This window comes from Homo sapiens, chromosome 6, assembly GCF_000001405.40.
Source record: "Homo sapiens chromosome 6, GRCh38.p14 Primary Assembly".
NCBI lineage: Eukaryota > Metazoa > Chordata > Mammalia > Primates > Hominidae > Homo > Homo sapiens.
Genome location: NC_000006.12, coordinates 37377823 through 37403616, shown reverse-complemented (window position 1 = coordinate 37403616; position 25794 = coordinate 37377823). Strand labels below are relative to the sequence as shown.

The window sequence follows — 25794 nt, the reverse complement described above, 5'->3', positions numbered from 1 at the left end:
GAGGCTTAATTAAGCTAAAAAGAAATAATCACACAGCAAAAGAAATAATCAACAGAGTGAACAACTTGCAGAATGGGAGAAAATATTTCCAAATTATTCATGTGACAGGGGACTAATATCCAGAATTTACAATAAACTCAAACAACTCAACAACAAAAACATAAATAACCCCATTAAAAATTGGGCAAAGGACATAATAGACATTTTTCAAAAGAAGACAGAGAAATGGCCAACGTGCATATGGAAAAATGCTCAACATCACTAGTGACAGAGAAATGCAAATTAAAACCAAGAGATGTCATCTTACATCAGTCAGAATGGCCATTATTAAGAAGTTTTTAAATAACAGATATTGACAAGGATACAGAGAAAAGAGAACGCTTTTACACTGTTGGCGGGAATGTAAATCAGTAAAACCTCTAAGGAACACAGTATAGAGATTTCCCAAAGAACTAAAAATAGAACTACTATTCAATCCAGCAATCCCACTACTGGGTATCTACTCAAAGGAAAAGCAATCATTATATCAAGAAGATATGCCAGGCGCAGTGGCTCATGCCTGTAATCCCAGCACTTTGGGAGGCCTAGGTGGGCAGATCATCTGAGGTCAGGAGTTCCAGACCAGCCTGGCCAACACGGTGAAACCCCATCTCTACTGAAAATACAAAAAAATTAGCCAGGCATGGTGGTGGGCACCTGTAGTCTCAGCTACTTGGGAGGCTGACGCATGAGAATCACTTGAACTCAGGAGGCAGAGGTTGCAGTGAGCCACTGCACTCCAGCCTCAGTGACAGAACGAGACTCCGTCTCAAAAAAAACAAAAAAAAAAAAACAAAAAAAACCCTGCACTCATTGTTTATCACAGCACTATTTACAATAGCAAAGATATGGAATCAACCTAAGTGTCCAACAGTGGATGATTGGATCAGGAAAATGTGGTATATACACACAATGGAATACTACTTATTCATAAAAAAATAAAATCGTGTCTTTTATAGCAACATGGATGGAACTGGAGGCCCTTATCTTAAGTGAAACAACTCAGAAGCAGAAAGTCAAATATTGCATGTTCTCATTTATAAGTGGAAGCTAAATAGTATGTGCACATGGACATAGAGTGTGAAGGGACAGGCATTTAAGACTTGGAAGGGTAAGGAGCAGAAAGGGGAAGGTGATGATGAGAAATTACCTAATGAGTACAAGATACATTATTTGGGTGATGGATGCTAAAAGTCAAGACTTCACCACTAGGCAATGTATCCATGTAACAAAATTGCACTTGTGCCCCTTAAATTTATACAAGAGAATGTAGTTTAGGTGCTGTGCTAGGGGGCAAAAAGGACAAATATAGGTGAGATAGTTGCAGGAAAGGGGAAGATATCAAAGAAGATTTTTGCAACATTTCATGACAACGTGAGGTGGGAAATTAAAGAAAAAATTGAAAGAGAAATAAGCTTTTCTGTATTAGGCTGACTTGACCCAGAGGCGGCAACAAGCACAGGCCAGACCCAGGAAAAGTCTTAATAATATTATCTAACGTGCTCTGCAGACTCTCCCAGCACTCCCTCAACATAGGGAGAAGAAAAACAAATTTTCCTTTGTTTTATGGCATGAGTTTATAGATTCTTGTTCTCTGTAACTAGTAACTTCAAGTATTCTGTTTTATCTAATGAGTACAATGAAGGTCATGAGAAGCCTGAGCAGGCCTGAACTACAGCTGCCTGGGCACCATAGTGAAGGTTATGAGATAAGCCAGTGCAAGGCTCTTTAGAGCAAAACCTAGATAACAGACATCTGGGTTGCACAGCAATGGTCATGTGCAATCCTAAGTTATGAACCTGTTACAAGTTAATTAACTGTCTTTGTCCTGCCTCTGTATCCCTGCTTTCATGCCACTGTAAGCTTGCCCACTCCCTTTTGTGAAGTGTGTATAAAAGTCAAGTGCTGTCTTTGTTCTGTGCCCAGTCTTTGGACATTAAGTCTGCTGGGTCTGATTGCACTCAATAATAAAGACATCCTCCTGTATACACCCCAAGGTCTCTCTCTGGTCCTCCTAATTCCACAACAAATGCATAATTTGTTCCTGCTGTTGCAGCTGAAAATTAAAGAGAAAAGAGAGTGGGAGATTAAGAGGTATAAGAAGAACATATCATTGAAAATGAAGAGTTCCTATGGACATTTTGTTTAATATTTGTTCTTATTTTTAATATCCGTAAGACAAATATAGCCACAAGAGAAGTATATTCATGTATATACATATATATGTATGTGTACACACACACCACACACACACACACACACACAGTTGGTCCTCCATATCCATGGGTTCTGCATCCATAGATACAACTGAGTGAGGACCAAAAATATTCAGAAAAAAAATTCTACAAAGTTCCAAAAAGTAAAACTTGAATATGCCATGTGTCAAGTACTATGTTGAATCCACACAAATGAAGTGATGTGTAGGATTGTTTAGGTATTATAAGTACTCTAGAGATTATTTAAAGCATACAGAAGGATGTGCATAGGTCATATACAAATAGTACGTCATTTTATATCAGGGACTTGAGCATCTGTGGATTCTGGAACCCATGGGGCGTCCTGAAACCATCAATCCCCCACAGATACCAAAAGATGACTCTGTGTGTGTGTGTGTTTACACTGTTCTTTGACCCTGCAGGTAGCTTCCCCAGACCCTGGACCTCCCTACTTTCTACTTATCAACTCCCTCCTGTTTTCATTTTCCACCTTAACCAGCCCTGAATCCAAGTTCCATCACTTTAACCCCTATTCATCTCCATGGTACCTCATTAGCAAATCCCAACCCTGGGTCCATCCAGCTGCATTTTCTCCAGATGTAGGGTCTGCCAGGGAAAACCACACAAAAGTGCCTACTGGTGTCATAGACACCCATGGCCCCCTCATCACCATGCCCCCACACAGCCCAGCAATCCTGTTTCCCTAGTGAGCCCTCCCCTGTTCTCTGCAGTAGCTATTTTAGACCATCTCCTCCTTCTTCCAACCTTCCATCCAGACACCTCTCTCCCTTCACACTTGTCAGAAGATCCCTTTTCAACTTCGCAGCATAAATAGAAACCATCAGTAAGAAAATTCCTCAACTTCCCTCTTCCATATTTTCAGACTTGTCTTTCCATCTCTATTCTATTTTTTCTCTTCTCCTCCTGAAATATAATAAGTGCTTATTTTTCACTCACTCCCTAATGCAGGGCAAATGGTTGTTTTGCCTCTACTGTGCCACTAAAACTGCTCTTCCAACAGCCTCCTGGTTGCTAAACCTGTTGCTACTTTTTAAATATCTTATCTTACTTGACCAAACAGCAACCTTCGACCCAGTCGACAATTCTCTACTTCTTGAAGCACTGCTTTGGTATATTGGTCAGGGTTCTCCAGAAAAACAGAACCAACAGGAGAAGGAAGGAAAGAAGGAAGGAAGGAAGGAAGGAAGGAAGGAAGGAAGGGAGGGAGGGAGGGAGGGAGGGAGGGAGGGAGGGAGGGAGGGAAAGAGGGGGGGAGAGAGAGAGAGAGAGAAGGGAAGGAGGGAGGGAGGGAGGAATATCAGTTATATGGAATGAGCTCACACAGTTCTGGAGGTTGACAAATCTGAAGATCTTCAGTCAGCAAACTGGAGACCCAGGAGAGCTGACGGTGTATGTAGATCTAGTCCAAAGACCTGAGGCTTGAGACCCAGACAGAACTGATGTTTCAGTTCAAGTCAAAAGGCAGGAAGAAAACTGATGTCCCAGCTCAAGGCAGTCCGGCAGGAAGCAATTCTGTCTTACTTGCCAGAGAGTCAGCCATTTGATTCTGCTCAGGCCTTCAACTGATTGGATGGGGCCGACCCACATTAGGGAGGGCAATCTGCTTTATTTGGTATAGCTTCAAATGTTAGTCCTATCCAGAAATACCCTCATGTACCTAGAATGATGTTTGACCAAATGCCTGGACACCCCATGGCCCAATCACGTCTACACAGAAAGTTATTTATCACATTTGCCCTCTCAGCTACATCACCATTTCTATCTCCTACCTCTTGCCTCCTACCCTTTTTCAGTTTCTGCAAGCTGCTCCCTTGAATGTCTGTTATCCTCAATGTTCTGTCTTGGGTAATTTTTCCCTCACCCACTCTCCTTAGGAATTTCACCCTCTCTCAGGACCCCAGTGACCATCTATACATCCATGAGTCTCACATTTGTATCACCAAGCCAGCTCTCACCTCTGCACTCTCAACTCTGCTGAGAAGCCACAAAATCCTTATGATTGACACCTTCTCCTCCACCCAAGGGCAGCAGCTCCTTCATGTCCTCATATGGGCAGTGATTTCATAAATTCACTTATTGGGGCATTTCTTTCTGTCAGTGTCAACCACAAGGGTTACTTCAGTACATTTCACATGTGAATTTTCCTACAACTGTGAGAGGAAGGTCTTGAAGCAACAGCTCTCCTGCCCCAGCACTTATGCTCTCCCAGTTAGTGGATACTTATCTTGACAACCAATTCAGTGGATGCTGGAACGGGTGTGGGTGTAATAGCATATGGCACACTTAACAACATGTGACGATTTGCTTTCGGGCGTTGTGAAAGAGTAAATTCTCAAATCTACACAATCTAGGACAATTTTAATAATTTCCAGCCATGGCTATGAAAGTTGATGTCCAGAAGACTATGAGGAAAAATCTAAATTTGTGTGAATAGCAGAGGGGAGCATACAAGTCAGCATACATAGGGAGTCTGTAGACATTCCACGAAATTTTCTCTTTTTTTGAGATGGAGTCTCATTCTGTCACCCAGGCTGGAGTGCAGTAGCGCAACCTCGGCTCACTGCAACCTCCACCTCCCGGGTTCAATCGATTATCCTGCCTCAGCCTCCCTAGTAGCTGGCACTACAGGCATGTGCCACCACACCTGGCTAATTTTTGTACTTTTAGTACAGATGGGGCTTCATCATGTTGGCCAGGCTGGTCTCGAACTCCTGACTTTAAGTGATCTGCCCACCTCAGCCTCCCAAAGTGCTGGGATTACAGGCATGAGCCACCGCACTGGGCGAAATTTTCTTTTTGACATCCCAAAACAGAACTCATGCTTGCTCAACATCTCTAGTGTCTTCCCCAGACATGTTCCTCTCCCTGAGTTATTTCAGTGAACACTATCACTGAGATTGTTGTCCAAGGCAGAAACCCATGGTCATCTTTCCCTCCAGGCTCTCCCTCACCCCCACATTCAATCAATCATAAATCTTGATCTCTCATTGCCTTCATTTCTCATCTATAAAATGCGAGACCCTGTCTCTACTAAAAAAAAAAAAAAAAGAGTTCCTCATCTACAGTACTGGTAACTGCTCAACCAAAGTTATTGTGCTGCTGCTAGCTAACATGATTATTTATCTCCCCAAACTCTACAATCTAGTCACACAGAATGCCTTTCACTTCAAGAGGCCATGCTGTCTCTCACCTCCACACCCTCCCACTTCCTTGTCTGCTCCCCAGCCCTATCCTCTCCCCACTCTTACTCTGCTGACCCCTAGTCATCCTTCAAATCTTAGCTAAGATGCCACATGCTCCTGGAAGCCTTCCATGCTCCTCAGTCTGGGCTAGTTGTCCCCTCTCCGTGCTTTCTTGGCTCCCAGTACTATGCCTACAAACACTTGTTACTCTGTGAGTTCTCCACAGGACAAGCTCCAGAAGGTCACGTATTGTGCCTGTCTTCTTCAGGGTTGTAACCCTAGTAGCTAACACAGTGTCTGGCACGCTAGGTATTTGGTAACTATTTGTGCAACGAATGAATGTGAGCACTTCTTCCCCAGGGGTTCAGAAGCTAAGTTCCCCTTAGAAGGGATTGGGCAACTCCAGAAGAGCGGGGGAAAGTGAGTAGTCCAGCCGGGCGCGGTGGCTCACGCCTGTGATCCCAGCACTTTGGGAGGCCGAGGCGGGCAGATCACGAGGTCAGGAAATCGAGACCATCCTGGCTAACACCGTGAAACCCTGTCTCTACTAAAAATACAAAAAATTAGCTGGGTGTGGTGGCGGGTGCCTGTAGTCCCAGCTACTCGGGAGGCTGAGGCAGGAGAATGGCGTGAACCCAGGAGGCGGAGCTTGCAGTGAGCTGAGATCGTGCCACTGCACTCCAGCCTGGGCAACAGAGCAAGACTCCGTCTCAAAAAAAATAGAAAGAAAGAAAATGAGTAGTCCTACCCTTCACATTCAGGCATGGGAAGAGGAGGTAGGGGAGACTCTTTCTGTCCCTTGAATTTCAGGACCTGACCTGTGGCAGAAGGGTAAGGAGATTTTCCAAATGGGAAGAGGATAGCCACAGCTGCTTTGTGAGGACTGCACACTTAGAAACAAATTACATGACTAGAGCCATTCACTGGGAAACCGGCCTGCTCTCCAGGTTAACCCTCAAGCCACACGCTATGATCTTTGAGTCAAGGGCAGCTGCCAGCTTCCAGGTCATAGCATGCTTGGGAGGGATTTTCCCAAAAATCAGGAAAGACGCTACCCATGACAATCTGTGCCTTTGCTGGAAGAAGCCAGAGCTGCCTTGCATGGTGGGAACCTCCTGGGTAGAAACCATGTGTCCCAGGGGAGGAAGGGCTAATATCCAGACTCACATGGCTCAGGGTGAAATGTAGTTCACATCATTCAGCACTGTCTCCAGCCCTGGAGAAATGCCTGGTGCCCCAACCACAATGCCTTTTTTCTCTGTTAAAAGAATTTTTGTAGGAGGCTGGAGGTGGTGGTTCATGCCTTTAATCCCAGCACTATGGGAGGTCAAAGCGGGAGGACTGCTTAAGGTCAGGAGTTCAAGACCAGCCTGGGCAGCATAGCAAGATTCTGTCTCCACAAAAATATTTAAAAAATTAGCTGAATGTATTGGCATGTGCATGTAGTCCTAGCTACTTGGGACACTGAGGTGGGAGGATCACTTGAGGCCCGGAGTTCAAGACCAGCTTGGGCAACATAGTGAGATCTTGTCTCTACAAAAAATTTTAAAAATTAGCTGGGCGTGGTGGCACATGTCTTTAGTCCTAGCTGTTCAGGAAGCTGCGGCGGGAGGATTGCGTGAGCTCAGGAGTTCGAGGCTGCAGTGAGCTATGATGGTGCCACTATACTCCAGCCTGGGTGACAGAGTGAGACTCTGTCTCTTAAAGTAAAAAAGCTTGAGGCTGGGCACGGTGGCTCACGCCTGTAATCCCAGCACTTTGGGAGGCTGAGGCAGGCAGATCACGAGGTCAGGAGTTCAAGACCAGCCTGGCCAATATGGTGAAACCCCGTCTCTACTAAAAATATAAAAATTAGCCAGGTGTGGTGGCACGTGCCTGTAGTCCCAGCTACTCAGGAGGCTGAGGCAGAAGAATTGCTTGAACCCAGGAGGCGGAGGTTGCAGTGAGCCAAGATCGCGTCACTGCACTCCAGCCTGGGCGATAGAGCGAGACTCCGTCTCAAAAAAAGTAAAAAAAAAAAATTAAAAAAAAATTGAATTAAAAAGCTTGTAGAAGGCAGGCTTGAGGAAGTACAATGGAGCACACTGACTGACTGGCTGTGCTGAGGACTTTGGCTATGCTGGTTGCAATGACATCCCTTGCCTCCACCCCTTCCACCAAGTGTGTATCTTATCTACATTGACAGCTATGAGGAAGGAAATGGGGGCTATTTACAGGGGGCGCCATGACATCTACCTTCTCCCTGGCCTCTGGGATAAGTTCTGGGTTCCAGTGGTTATGGTACTGATGGTCAGCAGCAACTTGGTTGAGAAACTGAGAATTCTAAAGGTGTTGGTGATACCCAAGGTGCCAAAATGTGGCCTCAAGTTTTTGGAAGAGCCGTTCTCCTGCCTCTGTAGTGACGCTGCTACCATGCTGGGCAATTCCAGAGCACCAGGAAGGAGAAGCATTCTTAGACTGAATGGTGGCTTTCTCACAAGAACAGGGAAGACCTGGGGTGAGCAGGCTTCAGGAGTCAACCATGTGGGGAGATGCCAGTGATGCTCTGGTGAGTGTTTAACCGCCTATCCAGGGGTGGGGAAAGCTCCAACTTACAGCGTTTGCCAATTTCCATGGTGTGAATACTACCACCATGGCTGATTTCAAACTACCAACATGACCTCACTGAATGTAGAGTTGGGAAGAGACGCACACCATCAGCTGCAGAGCCAGGGCGGCACTGGGAGAGGCCCAGGGAAGACGGGCAGGAATTGAGATCAGGAGAGCACCCTCATAGCCAGGCTGAAACTCACAAAGGCTCATGGTCCTGAAAACTTGTCCAGCCCCATCCACCACTAGGTTAAGTTTGGTGCCAATATTTGCATCAGAAACATTCATCTGTGCTTACCTTGGCTGAAGTACCTGAGGCTTCCACAGAGGTCTCCTGGGTGCCTGCCTACACAGGACAGTGGTATGTGGTGCTTCAGGGCCTATTCTCCATGCTAAAAGGCCAAACTTGCCCTGAAACCTGCCACAGAGATGCCCTTGAAGGCCCCTGGGTAGAGCTGGGTAGAGGCCCAGGACAGCTTGATCTCTAAGGAACTGGTCCCTACATCCTGAGGGCCGGTGGGTGGTGGTAAAAGCAGCAGGCTGCAAAGGCTTGGGCTACCCAGGTCCTAGAGATGTGAAACGCCAGTTCTGGATCTTGGGATGGGCCAGCGTAGCCTGCTGGATCTCCTGCGTGGAGGTTGAGGAATGTGAGGAAACACCCAACATTGCTACCTCAGTAGGTAGCAGTGCGTAACCCCCTCCCACAGCATCTCATAAAACCTTTGAAACGCTTTTGACACCTTTCTAGAACATCAGCTCACAATGGTTGTGTTTTGCTCATTGCCATACCAAACACCTAGAGCAGTGCCTAGTAAGAAAATGGGCATTTGATAACTATTGCTGAATTGAATTTATTGAATACATGCAGAGTACAAACGGCCCCAAATCACAGCAGGTTGAAGTATTCACAGAGCCTGAAGGAAAGTGGACAGCAGAGATAGTGGCTCTGGAAATTGGATGAGGTGGGCATCTGGAATGTAGTAAAGCAGCAGCAAGCAGGAGATACTGCTTGGCGACTAGATGAGCTCAGGTAGCCCATCACTGGTACATTGTTTGGGGATGCTGTAGACAAAGGAATGACAGCATTGGAGTATTTATTGAATGCCTATCACAGGCTGAGCCCTTTCCTAGGATTCATATGCTTTTCTCAATGGAAGAATCAAGAAGATAGTTCATTATTTCTCCTTAATACAAGGCCCCATCGTCTTCCCAAGAACCCCACACTCCTACTGCCTCAACTCCCATTTGTTGGAGAAGCTGAAAAAGCTGACCAGGTAGGAAGTTTCTTTCTCTGAATGAAGCTAACTAGGGTTCAGAACAAGCCCTTGACCTATTGTGACCAATGGCAGATCCTGTTCCAATCAGGCCCCACACCTATGAACAAGTCTGTATCTCAGAGCAAGAGACAGATAACAATTCCAGGATTCTCCTGATCTTAGATTAGGACCACAATACAAAGTAGACATTCCTTCTTACTTTCTATGTCAAATTTAGCTAATCACTGGATTCATCAGAAGCCTAGGGGGTTCAGTGTCGAGATAAACATACCTAGGACACCCCATGTTTCTGGGTTATCCTTAGATACGATGAGGTGGAGAGATTCCAGTCACAGAGAGAGGCTGTAAAGAGCAAGCAGGCAGTTGGAGAGAGCTACCAATCCCAGACACTCCAGCAGTTATGGTGACTGCCTGGATGGTCACTCACAGAGGAGGAAAAAGTAGTGAGAGAACTGGAGACAAGGGGGAAATGCAGGTCTTTCTGTACAACAGCAGCTTCCAATCAGAGAAACAGATGATGGGTATCCAGCTATGCAATCCACAAAGGACAAAGTCCCCTGCTTTGGCACAGTCTGATTGTTGGGATGAAACATGCCTAGAGGTAGAGTGAGCCCTTTCTAGGTTAACATAACCAGATATGGGACACCTGCCATTCACTGCAAAGTGCTTCATATAGCTGGCTGCATTCATCTGCTTAATAAAACCAGATAATGAAACAAACCCCCTTTTCCAGTTCCCCAGAGCCCTGCTGTAAAGAAGGTGCCTTTAATTAGAGTCAGACTGCACAGCACTGGGGCTCAGCTGTACTATAGTTTGATGCTGCAAGGCAGAAAAGTTACCGTGTATTTTCTAGGCAAGTAAAATGCAGATGATGTTTAATATCAGATATCTCTCCAAGGAAAGAACATTCTGTAGCTCAGACAAATAATGCAAGTTTGGGTTAATTTTTGGTTTGTCTTTTAAACATAGTACATTCAGGCTTTTGTTTGTGATCAGGGCAATAATGACAGATATAATTACTTAGAGATGAAGAAACCAAAACCAAGACACAAGGAGGCTGAGTAACTTGCCCAAGGCTCACACAGTTACTAACAGCAGGGCCAAGATTCAAACTCCGCTAGTCTGGCTTTTAATGTTGTTGTATTGATTTATTACTCTTTTTAGTCTGTCTTTAAGAGCTCACTTTCCTAGATGTTGTGGAACACTTGAGAGGGATGTGGTACTCTGAAAGGAGGGGCTGCAAATCACTCTATGTCCAGCAGCTGTGGGATGGAATGGTCAGTCTGTGAGGTCAGTCTCTGTACATAGTCTTCAGGCTCAAGTCAAGATGTCTCTTCTTGGCCAGGTGCAATGGCTCATGCCTGTAATCTCAGCACTTTGGGAGGCCAAGGTGGTAGGATTGCTTTAGCCCAGAATTTCAAGACCAGCCTAGGCAACATAGTCTCTATTAAAAAATAATAAAATAATTTTTAAAAAGGTATTTCTTTTTAAAATATCTTCTCTCTAAAGATATATGTACAAGGGTGTTAACTGCAGCATTGTTTTAAGAGTAAAAAGGTTTGAACCAACCTAGATTTCTATCAAAAGTAAGCCAGAAAAGTAAATGATGGTGCAAATACACAATGAAAAAACAGGCAGCTGTAATAAAGAAAGGAAACTATGTACTGACATGGAACTGTTGCCAACATATATCTGAAAAAAGCAAGGTTCAGAATAGCGTACAGTTTACCATTTGTGCAAAGCAAGGAAAAAGACCACATGTGTTTTTGCTTGTATAGACAGAGATCTCTGGAAGAATATACAAGCAACTGTAATACTTGTTGCCTCTGAGTGGGAAGTAGTCGCTGTGGGGAAAGGGTGAGAGGCATTTCATTCTACGCCATTTTGTACCTTTAATTTCAAACTATGTGAACATATTGCCTACTCAAAAAGTGTATGTCTGTACTCTCTTAAAAATGAATTACAATATGTAAACTAAACACAGAACATATAAAAATTGACATATACCCATGCAATCTATAAACAAAACACATGTATGGGGAAACAAGAAGTTATTAAATCAAGGTGGTAACAATCTTTTCCTTTTGTTCTCTATTTTTCCAGAATTCTTATGATGTGGTTATAGTAAGTACTTTTAAAGCATTTTTTCCACATTTAACTTACTTCCTCCATGACTCTACCAGTATTTTGATCAGTAATCATGGGCAGAAGAATGGAAATGAAGACTAAGGACTCCAGAATCCCAAAATTCACAGTATATTCAACAAAGAAAAAATCCCTACCATCCTTAAAAAGTTGGCAATCAATAGTTTCCAACCCTTTATGAAAATACATGGGGTATAGGCTGGGCGTGGTGGCTCACGCCTGTAATCCCAGCATTTTAGAGGCCTAGGCAGGTGGATCACTTAAGGTCAGGAATTTGAGACCAGCCTGGCCAACATGGTGAAACCCTGTCTCTACAGAAAAACAAAAATTAGCTGGGTGTGATGGCATATGCCTGTAGTCCCAGCTACTTGGGAGGTTGAGGTGGGAGGATGGCTTGAGTCTGGGAGGTGGAGGTTGCAGTGAGCTGAGATTGCACTACTGTACTCCAGCTTGGGCAACAGAGTCAGATCTTGTTTCAAAAATTAAAATTAAAATTAAAAATAAAGGAGAGGTGGAGAAAAGAGAGAAAACTTCTAATGTAAAAGAAAAATAAAGAAAAAAGCACATCAAGTTGTCATAAAATCATTGCCTGTGTGTTCATGACGTCAGATAAAATAGATTTGGAAACATTCAAATGCCAGCTGAAGGAAAGGAGTTTCTCCCACCCCTGAAACAAGGTAAACAGTGACCCACCTCTGTAATAAAAAGGAAACACGACAGTCAGGAGGTTAACAGAGCTCATCTGTTGCCACGATCTGCAGCTTGGCCTCTTAGGCTGACATTCACTTGAAGTCTATCATCTGATACAGTCACTTTCTTGGTTGTAATCTATGAGCTGCTGGTGTTTACTTGTGAGACTGTCTGGGAGCAGGAAGGGAAGGAAGGTAAATACACCAAAGCCCAGCTGAGCAACTGACAGGTTTTACATTTTATTTCCAGGAAATGAGATAGTATTTTCACAAAGAAGAGGTAAGCCATCCTCTCAAAATAGACACTGCCTTCAGAGGCAGCCATGGGGTACACCCAACCTATCCAAAACAACTGTCAACGGAGGTGTTTCCGAGGTATCAAAACAGTAACAACAACAACAAATTAAAAAAAAACAGAAGAGAACTCAAATAACTCTTTCGACATGTAGTGAGGCAGAGTCTACGAAGTACCCTGAAGCAGTTGGGTGCCGTGAATCCTGGTGGTGCTTCAGCCAATGATGGCAGCAGGGCTGGCCACCGTGGAAGGCAAGTGACTGAGGGCTTCCTAACTCAAGTCTCTGTCCCACAAGACTTCTCAGTTGACCTTCAGAGCAGCGGAGTCACGGCTAGAGAGAATCCTCCAGACCATCTCAGGCTCGCACTACCTGGCAGTCTTTCAAATGCCCTTAGAGCACGGTCTTCAGAACAATCTCTTTGCTTTGGAGAAAAAGAAGAGAAATAAATAAATGAGGAGCCTGTATTTCCCTTCCGTGGACTCCCTGCTTCCAGCCTCGCCACCCTGTCTCTTCCTCACACAGCAGCCATAGCGAACTGAGAAAACAGAAGTCAGATCATGTCACTCTCTGCTCAAAGCCCACTCCTCATTCCTCTCACAGTGAGTTAAAGTCAAAGTCCTTTCAAAGGCCTACAAGGCCCTACAAAATCTGCGTCTTGCTCAAGCTTCCTCTCCTACCCACTCCCCAGCGCTCACTCCACTCCCCAGCACTAGCCTCCTTGCTGCCCCTCCCACATACCAGCATGCTCCCCCTTACCATTCCCTCTTTCCCTACATGGCAGCATGGCCACCTCCTTCAGAGCTTCCCTCAAATAGTTCCTGCTCAGAGGTGCCTTCCTTGATTACCCTATCAAGAATTGCCAAGGCTTTCACCATCACCCCTTCTCCCCTTCTTGCTTGATTTTTCTCCATAGCATTAATTACATCTAACTTAGATTTTCACTTTTTACATTCTCAGCATCTAGAACAGTGCCTAGCACAAATCTGGCCCTCAATATATCTGTTAAAGATGTTAAAGAAAGGAATGAATTATATACAGGAATAGGCAGGGAGAGGCGGGAATTCTTCCTGTGTTCAGAGAGGGAGGGGACAAGAAAGGCTGTTTACTTACTAGCCTCCAGGCTTTTCCAATAGTCCGCTTCCTTGTGGGAATCCTGGCCTATGCCAAAGGCACAATAAAGTCACCAACCAAATTGTCCCCTTTCTCTGAGACTGAATTCTGGAATGCTTTGTTAGGGGGATTGAAAGGACTACAGAAGTTATTCGTCTCCCACTTCTGGGTAGCCTTTGAGGTGGTGGGCCTTGGGGCTGGGCATGCCCTCAGCCTTGGAGAGAGAGAACCAAGTAGGGTTCCCTCCCTCTTAGCTAACAGCCTCAACTATTAGCTCACAGAAGAATACAGAAGCCACAAGAAAGAAATTCTCTGGACACCCCTCAAGCAAACTTCCTTGCCCCACCCCCCCACGATACTCTTCTTTCTATAAAACAAAGAATGCACACTTCTCCTCTTAAAGACTAATTGCTTTCTGAGCTCTGTACTCCCTGTCTTCCCCTGCTTTCCAACGAGTCATGCCCTACCTGCTATCTTGGCTTTCCAGCATGCCCTTCTGTACAGGCTCCTTTCAATCTGCAATGGAACATGCTCAAATCTCGTCTTTAAAAAACAACAAAAACCCCATTTCACCCTACTTCCTCCTCCAAATACAGCCTTCTTTTGGTGGTGGTCCTCCCCATCTTAGTCACAGCCAAATTTTGTGAAGAAGTTATCTATTCTTTCTGTACTTCCTCACCTCATACTCACTCCCCAATCACTGTAAACTGACTTCTGACTCCACCATCCCCCACAACTTATACTAGATAAAGTCACCGATATCCCACATGCCTGCATACTCAATGGGCAATTTTTCATCCTTATCTTGTTTAATGTCTCAGCAGCATTTCAAACGCTGACTTCTCACTTTATAACTCTTCATAAACACATATTTACTGAAGAGCTACCATGTGCCAAACACTCTTCAATGCCCTGAAAATACTACAAGGAGAAAGATAAAATTCCTGCCCTCAAGGAGTTCGGAAATCTAGAGGCAAGAGTACACTAACAAATATTATTTCAATCTGGTAAATGCTTTCAAAGAAATATAGGGCAATGTAATGAGGGGGATCTACCCTAGACAAGAGTGTGGCCAGGAAGGCTCAAAGGACACCATGTAATGTCTTTTTTTTTTTTTAAAGAGATAGGGTCTGGCTCTTTTGCCCAGGCTGGAGTACAGTGGCACAGTCACAGCTTACTGGAGACTTAAACTCCTGGGTTCAAGGGATGCTCCAGCCTCAGCCTCCTGAGTAGGTGGGATCACAGGCATATGCCATCATGCCTAATTTTTTTTTTTTTTGAGATGGGGGTCTCACTATGTTGCCCAGGCTGGTCTTGAACTCCTGGCTTCAAGTGATCCTCTCACCTCAGCCTCCTAAGTAGCTGTGAGGACAGGCATGTGCCAGCTCTGCCTGCCCCACATCCCTGCCCCACATCCCTCTTTTTCCATCTCTCTCTTTGGCCATTCATCAGTCTGCCCTGCAGGCCCCTCTTCTACTACTCATCCCCTAATGTTGGTGTTTCTCATGGCTAAGAACTTGCCCTTTGGCTCTTAATACCACAGAGACGGTAACAGTGGTTCATCCACTTCCATGGCTCATGATCCCCAAACCTAGAATCTCAACTTGGCCTGTCCTTCAGGCTCCAGATCCACACATTCAAATAACCACTGAACAGCTCCATTGATGTCCTCAGGTGCCTTAAACTTTCCAGTTGAAAACTAAATTTGTCTGCTCCAACTACTCCTATTTTAGTAAATGCATCATCATCAACTCAGGTGCCCCAATAGAAAGAAACCTAGACATGATCTGAGCTCCCTTGCAGTCCCCACAGCACATCAGTCCCACAGACCTGTGGATTCTACCTCCTTAACTACCTCTTGAATCTATCCACTCTGGCCATCCCTGCTGCTACTTCTCTAACCTAGCCACCATCATCACTGGCCATGATTACTGCCTTTATTCTTGTTCCCAGCACCATGTCGTCTCTTCACTACAGCCAGACTAACCTATCCAGAAAAACACAAACATCAACAGTCAGATCTCCACTTCATATCTTCTGTTTCCCCCTGCCCCTAGACTAACTCTGCAACATGTCTGTAACACCCTGCATGACCCAGTCCTGCCAACTTTTCCAGGCTGAATGCTCAATATTCTCTCTAGCACTCTGTACTTCTCTCAGCCCCTAAAAACCCCTTGCTTTTGCTTCTTGTCCTTTCACCTAAAATACACTCCATGTCCTTCACTGACTCAGGGAAGCCTTTCCTTGACTTAGCACCCTTTATTTCTCATATTGTAGGACTTTACTATAAGGAACCTAGGGCCTGCACTTAGAGCAAAAGTTCCATGAGGGGAGAGACTGCACATGCCCTCTTTGCTTTTATCCCCAAGCACTTAGCATTTAGTAGGTGCTAAGAAAAAGGAAAGACCCAGGACTGGGCGTGGTGGCGCATGCCTATAACCCCAGCGCTGTGGGAAGCTGAGGTGGGCTGATCCTATGAGCCCAGGAGTTCAAGACCAGCCCAGGCAACATAATGAAACCCCATCTCTACAGAAAATACAAAAAATTAGCCAGGCATGGTGGCGCACGCCTGTAGCCCCAGCTACTAGGGAGGCTGAGATGGGAGGATGCTTGAGCCCAGGAGGCGGAGGTTTGCAGTGAGCTGAGATCATGCCACTGCACTCAGCCTGGGTGACAGAAAAAAAGGAAAGACCCAGAAGAAAGGAAGCAAGTAAGAGATATTTCTTTGGGGTTGGTTCTGGCTCAAGTTTAATGAGACAAGTGTAAAAGCAGTCCAAACTCTCCAGGATACAGAAAGTAACTGAAGTAGAAGCCCTAGCCAGGAAAAGGAGCATGTCTAGTTATATCAGATTTCTTAAGAACCATAGCAGTAGGCAGTTGGACAGAATATATATCCAGCTGATAAGGTATAATCAGCCATTCTCTATGATTAGTTCATAGAATATCAACTTATTTGAGCTTGCTCTAAAAATACTCAGTGTTCATCTAGGGTTAACCAAGAAACTCAAAGAAAAGCTGCTTTGGTTAATGACGCTACTCTATATTTGCACAGGTAGTCTCCTACAATAGACATTCCTGGAAGTAGGTATGAAAAATGATAAAATTACACGTTAGGAGGGAAAGAGGATCCATTTTTTAGAGGGCCAAAATAACTGTGTTATCACTAAAAATCAAAAAAGGGCAGGAGAAAATTTTACTGTGGGAAATAGCAATGAACAATCTGAAGTGTCTCCTGCTAAACACCAGAGATGGCCAGAACTGCTCATGTTCCATCTCCAGGCCCTTTTCCCAGCCTGATGGACAAGCTAGGCTGGTGGGCTGATAGCTGGGCTGCAGCCTCCAGCAGCGATGGGATCCCACCATGGCCAGCAACCACTGATTTTCACTTTCAGTGCAACATGGTGCAGGGCTCATTGGAGTCACTGACTCTCCTGCATTGGACTCCTCAGGGTGTATTTAAAGCTATTGTAGCCCAGCAGTCAAAGTCAGCCCTGGATCTCTCAACTCTGGCATGCATGGTTCCCTCAAACTCAATCTTCCATACATTTAGGGTGTACTGAAAGATGATTAATAGCATCTAGGAAGGCCACTCTCCTAAGCTGTGAAAACTTTTCCGGGTGCCTGCAGGGCGGTAGTAGCTTTTGGTGAAAGGGAGAAGACACTCTACCACAGAGCACAAATGCACAGAACAGCCTTTTGACCTCCAGATGGAAGGACCATTCGGAAATCACAAGGATTACAGAGACAATAAAGAATTCAAGGTTCTAGGTCTTCCTGGGTTGCTACTCCATACAGTCCAATTAATCCCACAGCAGACTTTTACTAAGTTTCACTAGGTGAATAGTTCCTATGATGCCCTTGTCATTTCAAACTGTGTATTCTGAGGTGCCAATAAGAGTGATAGGGGAAAAAAATTAGCCCAGGTGCAGTGGCTCACACCTGTAATCCTGGCACTTTGGGAGGCTGAGGCGGGTGGATTGCTCGAGCTCAGGAGTTCAAGATCAGCCTGGGCAACATGGTGAAATCCCATCTCTACAAAAAATACAAAAAATTAGCTGGGTGTGGTGGCACATGCCTGTGGTCCCAGCTACTTGGGAGGCTGAGGTAAGAGGATTACCTGAGCCCAGAAGGCCAAGGCTACAGTGAGCCGTGATCATGCCACTGCACACCAGCCTTTTTCAAAAAAAAAAAAAAAAATGACAAAGGAAAGAAATTAAACAGAGGAAAAACTACATTTTGATGATAAGGAAGGATACTAGGACACAAAAGAAGAGAAGGAAAAAAGAAGGGAGATGAATAGGGAAGTGGTGATAGAGAAATTAAAAAGCTTCTAGTAACAATAATGTTACTATCCCACTACAATTTTGTTCTATCCCATTACAATTTTGCAAAGCATACTTTTTCTTTTCTTCTTCTTTTTCGTTTTTTTGAGACGAAGTCTCACTCTGCCCAGGCTGGAGTGCAGTGGCATGATCTCGGCTCACTGCAACCTCAGCCTCCCAGGTTCAAGCAATACTCCTGCCTCAGCCTCCTGAGTAGCTGGGATTACAGGTGTGCACCACCACGCCCGGCTAATTTTTGTATTTTTAGTAGAGATGGGGTTTCACCATGTTGGTCAGGCTGGTCTCAAACTCCTGACCTCATGATCCACGCCCCCTCAGCCTCCCAAAGTGCTGGGATTACAGCCGTGAGCCACAGCACCCGCCCTGCATACATTGTTTAAAGTAAAAAAATCTTAAGAGCCAGGCGCGGTGGCTCACGCCTGTAATCCCAGCACTTTGGGAGGCAGAGGTGGGCGGATCACCTGAGGTCGGGAGTTCAAGACCAGCCTGACCAACATGGAGAAACCCCATCTCTACTAAAAATACAAAATTAGCCGGGCATGATGGCACATGCTTGTAATCCCAGCTACTTGGGAGGGTGAGGCAGAAGAATTGCTTGAACCCGGGAGGCGGAGGTTGTGGTAAGCCGAGATCGCGCCATTGCACTCCAGCCTGGGCAACAAGAGCGAAACGCCATCTCAAAAAAAAAAAATCTTAAGAATACAGTGTTATATACTATCTGAGTACAAGCATGTGGACACTCCCGCCTCATCCTGACCTTGCCAAGATCCATTTTCCCTTAGACAAACACTGTCTTATACAAGGCAGGCAGAAATGCTAACTTCCTGCAAATGACCCTGATTCTCCAGGGACAGGACTGAGTAGGTTACAACTACCTGCTAATAAGTATTCTCTCTGGAAGAGAGAGGATTACTGCTGCCACTCCTTCAAACATCCCTTTAAAAGGCTGTCTTTCAGCAAAGGAGGATGGGCAATATCAGGGAAAGCCTTACAGGTGGGCTGATGGATACTCTTCAGAGCCTGGGCTTTGCCAGTTTCTCCTGCCCTGTGTTAGGTCCACCCTCTACTTAGCCTATAAGAAGCTGGCAAGAGATACAGGCCATGTGGTCTGACCTGGATCCATCTCCCCAGACACCCCCAACCTCTGGAGGGGTCTTTGTGTCACAGATTCACACAATAGTTCACAAATGCCTCTCCCCACCTCAGCACACGTGAAGGCCATGGCACACTCTCACTAGTAGCCACAATTCACTATTACAGCAGCAAGGGGCCAGGCGCAGTGGCTCATGCCTGTAATCCCAGCACTTTGGGGGGCGGAGCGGGGTACATCACCTGAGGTCAGGAGTTGGGAGACCAGCCTGGCCAACACAGTAAAACCCCGTCTCTACTAAAAATGCAAACATGAGCTGGGCGTGGTGGCATGCACCTGTAATCCTAGCTACCCAGGAGGCTGAGGGAGGAGAATCACTTAAACCCGGGAGGGGGAGGTTGCAGTGAGCCAAAATTGCGCCATTAAACTTCAGCCTTTCAGCCTGGGCAACAAAGCAAGACACCATCTCAAAAAAAAAAAAAAAAAAATAGTAGCAAGGGAGCTAAGGAATGTAGTTTGAAAAAGCCCCTTGGTTGAAAATCACTGTTCTAAAGGACCAAGGAGATTTTATTTCTACATTGCTTGTTTTTTTTCTGAGTACAACCCAAAGAAACCGCTAGGAAAAGCAAAACAGAAGAGTTTTAACACTCTTGTCAACCAACTAACATCGAATGAGAACAGAAGAAACGGGAGGGGAGGAGCTGACAGAAGACTGCTCTCTCACCTCACCAGCTCCAGAGGGAGATACTCTATAGGGGATTTCAAAAAAACTTTTCCATTCAGAAAAAATCTCATGTCAATATCCCAGAGAGCCACAGTGACTCATGATACAAGACTTACTGAATGTCTGTTATCTGTCCTAGCTCCAGAGCATCCATCTCCAACTCAGGACCCAGCATCCTAACACTCCCATCCTCTTCCTCTCCTCTGGTCTCACACAAGAGATCAATGGCTAATCAGTCATGAGACTCTACTCCTCCCACTAACATATGAAACTTCAATAACCAGCCCAGGAGGCCTAGAAGTGAGGCTGTTCTTGGTGAAATCAGAATACAGGCATGTCTGCATGGGCAACACCCTGTGGCCACAGGCAGGCAGGTCTCCTCTGAATTTATAAGAGCAATTCCTGCTCCAGGGCCTGCAGTGATGGGACTCTGACAATTACAGGCTTGCCAATCCTAGTTTCCAGATCCTAAATTTGGTCCTTTTTAAAAATTCCCATGCAACAGGGATTAAACCAGCTTTCAATTGGCCTTGGAATATGGAAGGAAGGTTGGTATTTAAACTGAGAATTTTCTCTAAACCCAGTGAAGCTGTTGATAGCTCTGGCATGTCTTTCCCTAAATCAGGTCTCAGAAAACCTGTCTGTCTCTAGAGAAAACTTCAAAGCTGCATTCAGTGTGATAACTACAGAAACCAAGATGGGTGCCAGAAGTGCTCCCAGCCAATGCATGTAACAGGGAAGCTAACTCATTTTACTGTGTAGCCCCCTAGTGTTACCAAAAAAGTGAGAGACACCCTCTTTAGCCTTTGGAGAGAAAAGGGGGATCTGTTATTACTCTGCAGAATTAACTCTGTGTAATAGGAGTCAGACGTAAACTTAGGACACAGGGCCCAGGGCCCTTCTTTCCTTTTTTTTTTTTTTTTGAGACAGAGTCCCGCTCTGTCATCCAGGCTGGAGTGCAGTGGTGCGATCTTGGCTCACTGCAACCTCTGCAGGTTCAAACGATTCTCTTGCCTCAGCCTCCTGAGTAGCTGCGACTACTGGTGTGCGCCACCACGCCCGGCTAATTTTTGTATTTTTAGTAGAGACGGGCTTTCACCATGTTGGCCAGGCTGGTCTCGAACTCCTGACTTCGTGATCTGCCCATCTTGGCCTCCCAAAGTGCTGGGATTACAGGCATGAGCCACCGTGCCCAGCCTTTTCTTTCCCTGATGTTTTGTGAAGCCATTTGCCATGCTTAGATTGCAGGGAAGGAACTTAGGTGGTAGACTGGGCGAAGAAAGCCCATGGGTGTCCCTAGGTCCACCCCCCAACCCCGTCCCCCGACTCAGCTGATCTTGGCCAAATCTGGATTCCCAGATCACTGCTCCTCTCAAAAAGGGAAAGAGGGAAGAAAAAAAAATTCACAAAGCCTCCGTAGATACTTTCTAAGCCTTGACATCATGTGAATATTATGTCTTGTGTGGGCCACACTGGGAACTGGGGCAGGACAGGTCACTGCTTCTCATGCCTCTGTGTTTTGCTTGTGCTACTGCCTCTCCTTAGAAAGCTAACCTCCTAGGGAACCTTTAAGGCTCATTCAAATGTCATTTCCTTGATGAAGCTTTTTCCCATACCTGCACCTCCCCAGGCCAAATCAGGTGTGTCCCTTCCTTTGAAGTTTCATAGCACCCTGATAAGGAACTCATCACACTATCTACTTGCCTTTCTATCTCCTCCGCCAGACTGTTTGTGCCGTAAGGGCTGAGATAATGTCTTATTTAACTTTTTCTCCTGATGCCTAGTGTAGTATTCCTGTAAATGCTTATGGAGTGATGGGAGGTGAAAAGGAAGAACAATGGGATTCTGTCAGATCAAGTAGCTCTTGGAAGTGAAAATCTGTGGGGGCTTAAATTTAGGCACAAAACCCAGTAGCATACAGCTGTTAGTAAAGTGGTAAAACTTCAGTTCCAAAGAACCAGCTTTCAAAGTCTACTCTGCCCTCCCACAGGTCAGAATGTCTTCCTTGGGCATAAGAGGCTCAGACACACGTCCTGCTCAGCCTCTGTGACAAGCCTGCTGCCTCCATTCTGGCTGACCAGCAGAGGGCCAGTTTCAAACCACAGGTGCTTGCAAGTCAGCATCAGATTCCTGGCCCTACTATCCTATTTATAACTCACTGTATACTTAACTCAAGGTTTTTTCAACACCTGGACAGCAACTGAAGTGTCTTGACAACAGCACCATCTAGTGACTGGTACAGCAAAACGTCTGACTGTGTGTATTTTTTTAAATCACATCTTCATTTTATCCCCCCACAACCAAGGCACACATACTTAGCCTCCCACTTCCCTGCTGCTCAAGTAACAGTTGCGGTTAATTCTATCTCAACTCTTCCTCTCCTGCATTATCTTTAACTCCCTTTACTCCTCCCCATTTATTCCATCTCTTCCCTAGTTCAAGAATTGTTTATCTGACTCTTTCTCTTTCCAAAAATATTTGTTGAAGTTTGGAAGTAAATAAGTCCTTTCTTGAGGGGTAGGAATTCTCACACCCACTCACCTTTTCGTTCCCTAATGAGAACAATTCGTCGTTCTTTCACTTCTGAGCTCAGATTATTTACCATCTTATTAATGCAATTGTCCAGAACCAAAGAGTACGTTTTGGACTTAATGTCCTTCCGACAAATGGGGCATTCTATCTTCCGCTTCATCCATTCATTGATACAGTAGGAGCAGAAACTGTGGGCACAGTTCAAGGTGACAGCCTACAGTAGGAATGTGGACACACATATCAGAACTTTCATGCTTACTTTCTCAGGATGCTTGTGATCTCAAAGTTAGGACAGGAGTGAATTTCAAAGGCCAAATGGAAAATTAACAACAATCCCATCTTAAGGGCTTATAAAGAGTATCAGAATCATTCTTGGGGTTGGGCCGGGCATGATGGCTCATGCCTGTAATCCTGGCACTTCGGAAGGCCAAGGTGGGTGGGTCACCTGAGGTCAGGAGTTTGAGACCAGCCTGGGCAACATGGTAAAACCTCGTCTCTACTAAAAATACGAATATTAGCCAGTCACAGTGGTGCACACCTGTAATCCCAGCTACTCGGGTGGCTGAGGCACGAGAATTGCTTGAACCCAGGAGATGGAGGTTGCAGTGAGACAAAATCACACCACTGCACTCCGGCCAGGGTGACAGAGGCAGAAATCGTTTTTAGGGTTGGGGAATTTTTTTTTTTTTTTTTGAGACGGAGTCTCACTCTGTCCCCCAGGCTGGAGTGCAGTGGCGCGATCTCGGCTCACTGCAGACTCCGCCTCCTGGGTTCACGCCATTCTCCTGCCTCAGCCTCCCGAGTAGCTGGGACTACAGGCGCCTGCCACTACACCCGGCTAATTTTTTTGTATTTTTAGTAGAGACGGGGTTTCACCGTGTTAGCCAGGATGGTCTCGATCTCCTGACCTCGTGATCTGCCCGCCTCGGCCTCCCAAAGTGCTGGGATTACAAGTGTGAGCCACCAAGCCCGGCCTGGGTTGGGAAATTTTAAGCTTTATGTTAGACAATTCTTTTCTTAAAGTTAAGGTCACAGACTCAGGTTCCAGGCAGGCTGATTTGTCTTTTTCAGTCCACCAACTTAGACCACACTCCCAATGTGGGCTGGCCACCTTGCAAACAAAATGTTATTGGATATGAGTAGGACTATTAAGTGCGTGAATGCTTACACCTGTAATCCCAGCACTTGGGGAGCTGAAGAAGGTGGACTGCTTGAGCCCAGGAATTTGAGACCAGTCTGAGAGACATGATGAAACCCTATCTCTACAAAAAAAGGAAAAAAAAAATAGCCAGGCATGGTGGCACAGTCTGTGGTCCCAGCTACTCAGGAGGCTGGGGTGGGAGGATCACTAGAGCCTGGGAGCTAGAGGCTGCAGTGAGCCATGATGGCGTTACTGCACTCCAGCCTGGGCGACAGAGTGAGACACTGTCTGGAAAAAACAAACAAACAAACAAAAACAAACAATAAAAAGTATTATTTTCCACCAATCTGATGCTTTTATAAAACAAATTTTTTAAAAAGAAAAACAAATTTATGTCTTGCTAATTGACATATGAAAGGGAACACATACTAAATATTAAGTATACAGAATTATATAAGACATCATCTCTAAAACTAAAAAAGTAAAATAATATAGAAGGCAACTAAAAATGCTGGGCAAAAAAAGAAACTAAAAAAGTAAAAATGTAGTGGGTTCGTTGACAACGCCTGAATATCTAAGTAATGTGCCAATGAAGAGAGAAAGCAAAAGGAAGCCTGTATTTGTGGGGCTCCTCTGAGTAATCCCTCTGGTCAATTTCTGCCTGAGCCCTTTTCACTCAGAAGAATACAAACCTTTTTCTTTGTTACTCTTGTTTATGTACATCTCCTAAGATACAACTTTTTCTGAGGCTCAAAAATGCTCATTCCTGCTCTTAGGATAACAGTGCAAAATAACACAGATATTACATATTTTTCAAATGCCAAGTTGAGCACAGAAGCTAGGAAACATTGTGTTTATTACATGAGACAAGCTCTCATAAACAGTACTGAAAACCTATCTGATAAAAATGAAGCATCTGGCCAGGCTCACTGTAATCCCAGCACTTTGGGAGGCCGAGGCAGGCAGATCACCTGAGGTCAGGAGTTCGAGACCAGCCTGGCCAACATGATGAAATCCCATCTCTACTAAAAATACAAAAAAATTAGCTGGGTGTGGTGGCGGGTGCCTGTAGTCCCAGCTACTCCGGAGGCTGAGGCAGGATCACATGAACCCAAGAGGAGGAGGCTGCAGTGAGCCGAGATTGCGCCACTGCACTCCAGCCTGGGTGACACAGTGAGACTCTGTCTCAAAAATAAACAAATAAATAAATAAATAAAATAAAACATATTTCTGAGACGAATTTTAAGAGGTGACCAGTAGAGTAGATAAGACAGTATTCTGTAAACAAAACACAGGGTCAAGTTGTTTATGTCTTATATGTCTCTGCAGATGCTCCAGGTTGGCTAACTCATCATTTATTTCAACCCCCGTTCCTTGTCTTCCTCTTATAGAGTCCATAAGCCCTGTCAAAACAACATAGAACTTCTCCAAAGTAGAGAATCAGATGACTAGAAATTATGGGAGAAGTTACGATCTGAAGTCCAAACGGACCCAGAGGAAAAGAAACAGTTCTGCCCAGGAGAGATTTTTCAAGAGGCTAACAGACCCAACTTCCCTAAAGATCACCTGAGAAAAGAAAGCTGTGTGTATATGTTTTTCTTTTTTTTTTTTTTTTTTTTTTTGAGACGGAGTCTCGCTCTGTCACCCATGCTGGAGTGCAGTGGTGCGATATCAGCTCACTGCAAGCTCTGCCTCCTGGGTTCAAGCAATTCTCCTGCCTCAGCCTCCCGAGTAGCTGGGATTACAGGTGCATGCCACCATGCTTGGCTAATTTTTGTATTTTTAGTAAAGATGGGGTTTTGCCACGTTGACCAGGCTGATCTTGAACTCTTGACCTCAGGTGATCCGCCCACCTTGGCCTCCCAAAGTGCTCGGATTATAGGCATGAGCCATTGCACCCGGCCTACATTTTTCTTTCTCTTTTTCTTTTTTTTCATGCCTTGCTCTGTCACCCAGGCTGAAGTGCAGTTGCGTGATCTCGACTCACTGTAGCCTCCGCCTCCCAAATTGAAGTGATTCTCCTGCCTCAGCCTTCCGACTAGCTGGGACTACATGCACACACCACCATGTCTGGCTAATTTTTGTAGTTTTAGTAGAGATGGTGTTTCACCATGTTGGCCAGTCTGGTCTCGAGCTCCTAACCTCAGGTGATCCTCTTGCCTTGGCCTTCCAAAGTGCTGGGATTACAGGTGTGAGCCACTGCACCTGGCCTTCTTTTTAAAGGAGTCTGAATAGCACTGTCATTTAGCAACTTGAATTTAACATCTGTGGTCTAAGGTGAACTGGTCACAAACAGCAGAATTTGTCAAATAAATAAATAAGCCAGTGCAAAAATATGATAGGCTAACAAATGGTAGAGGTTTCATTTCCATAAGGAGCCTCAGAGTCCCTGAAATATAT

At 45.2% G+C, this 25794-nt stretch overlaps 1 protein-coding gene across 3 annotated transcripts in view; it reads right to left on the bottom strand.

Moving 5' to 3' along the window:
* Positions 1–8882: 8882 nt before the first annotated feature.
* The window catches only part of RNF8 (ring finger protein 8), a 40752-nt gene continuing 23840 nt past the window's right edge, over positions 8883–25794 (bottom strand). For 2 of the 3 annotated variants that reach the window (NR_046399.2, NM_003958.4), the window contains exons 7-8: positions 22263–22467; positions 8883–12875 (exon numbers count right to left, since the gene is read on the bottom strand). Coding sequence is in view for 2 of the 3 variants with exons in the window: in NM_003958.4 (NP_003949.1) it covers positions 12859–12875; positions 22263–22467 (222 nt within the window). In the remaining variant the exon portion in view is untranslated. The remainder of the gene's footprint in view (positions 12876–22262; positions 22468–25794) is intronic. The other variant, NM_183078.3, reaches the window with a different exon arrangement.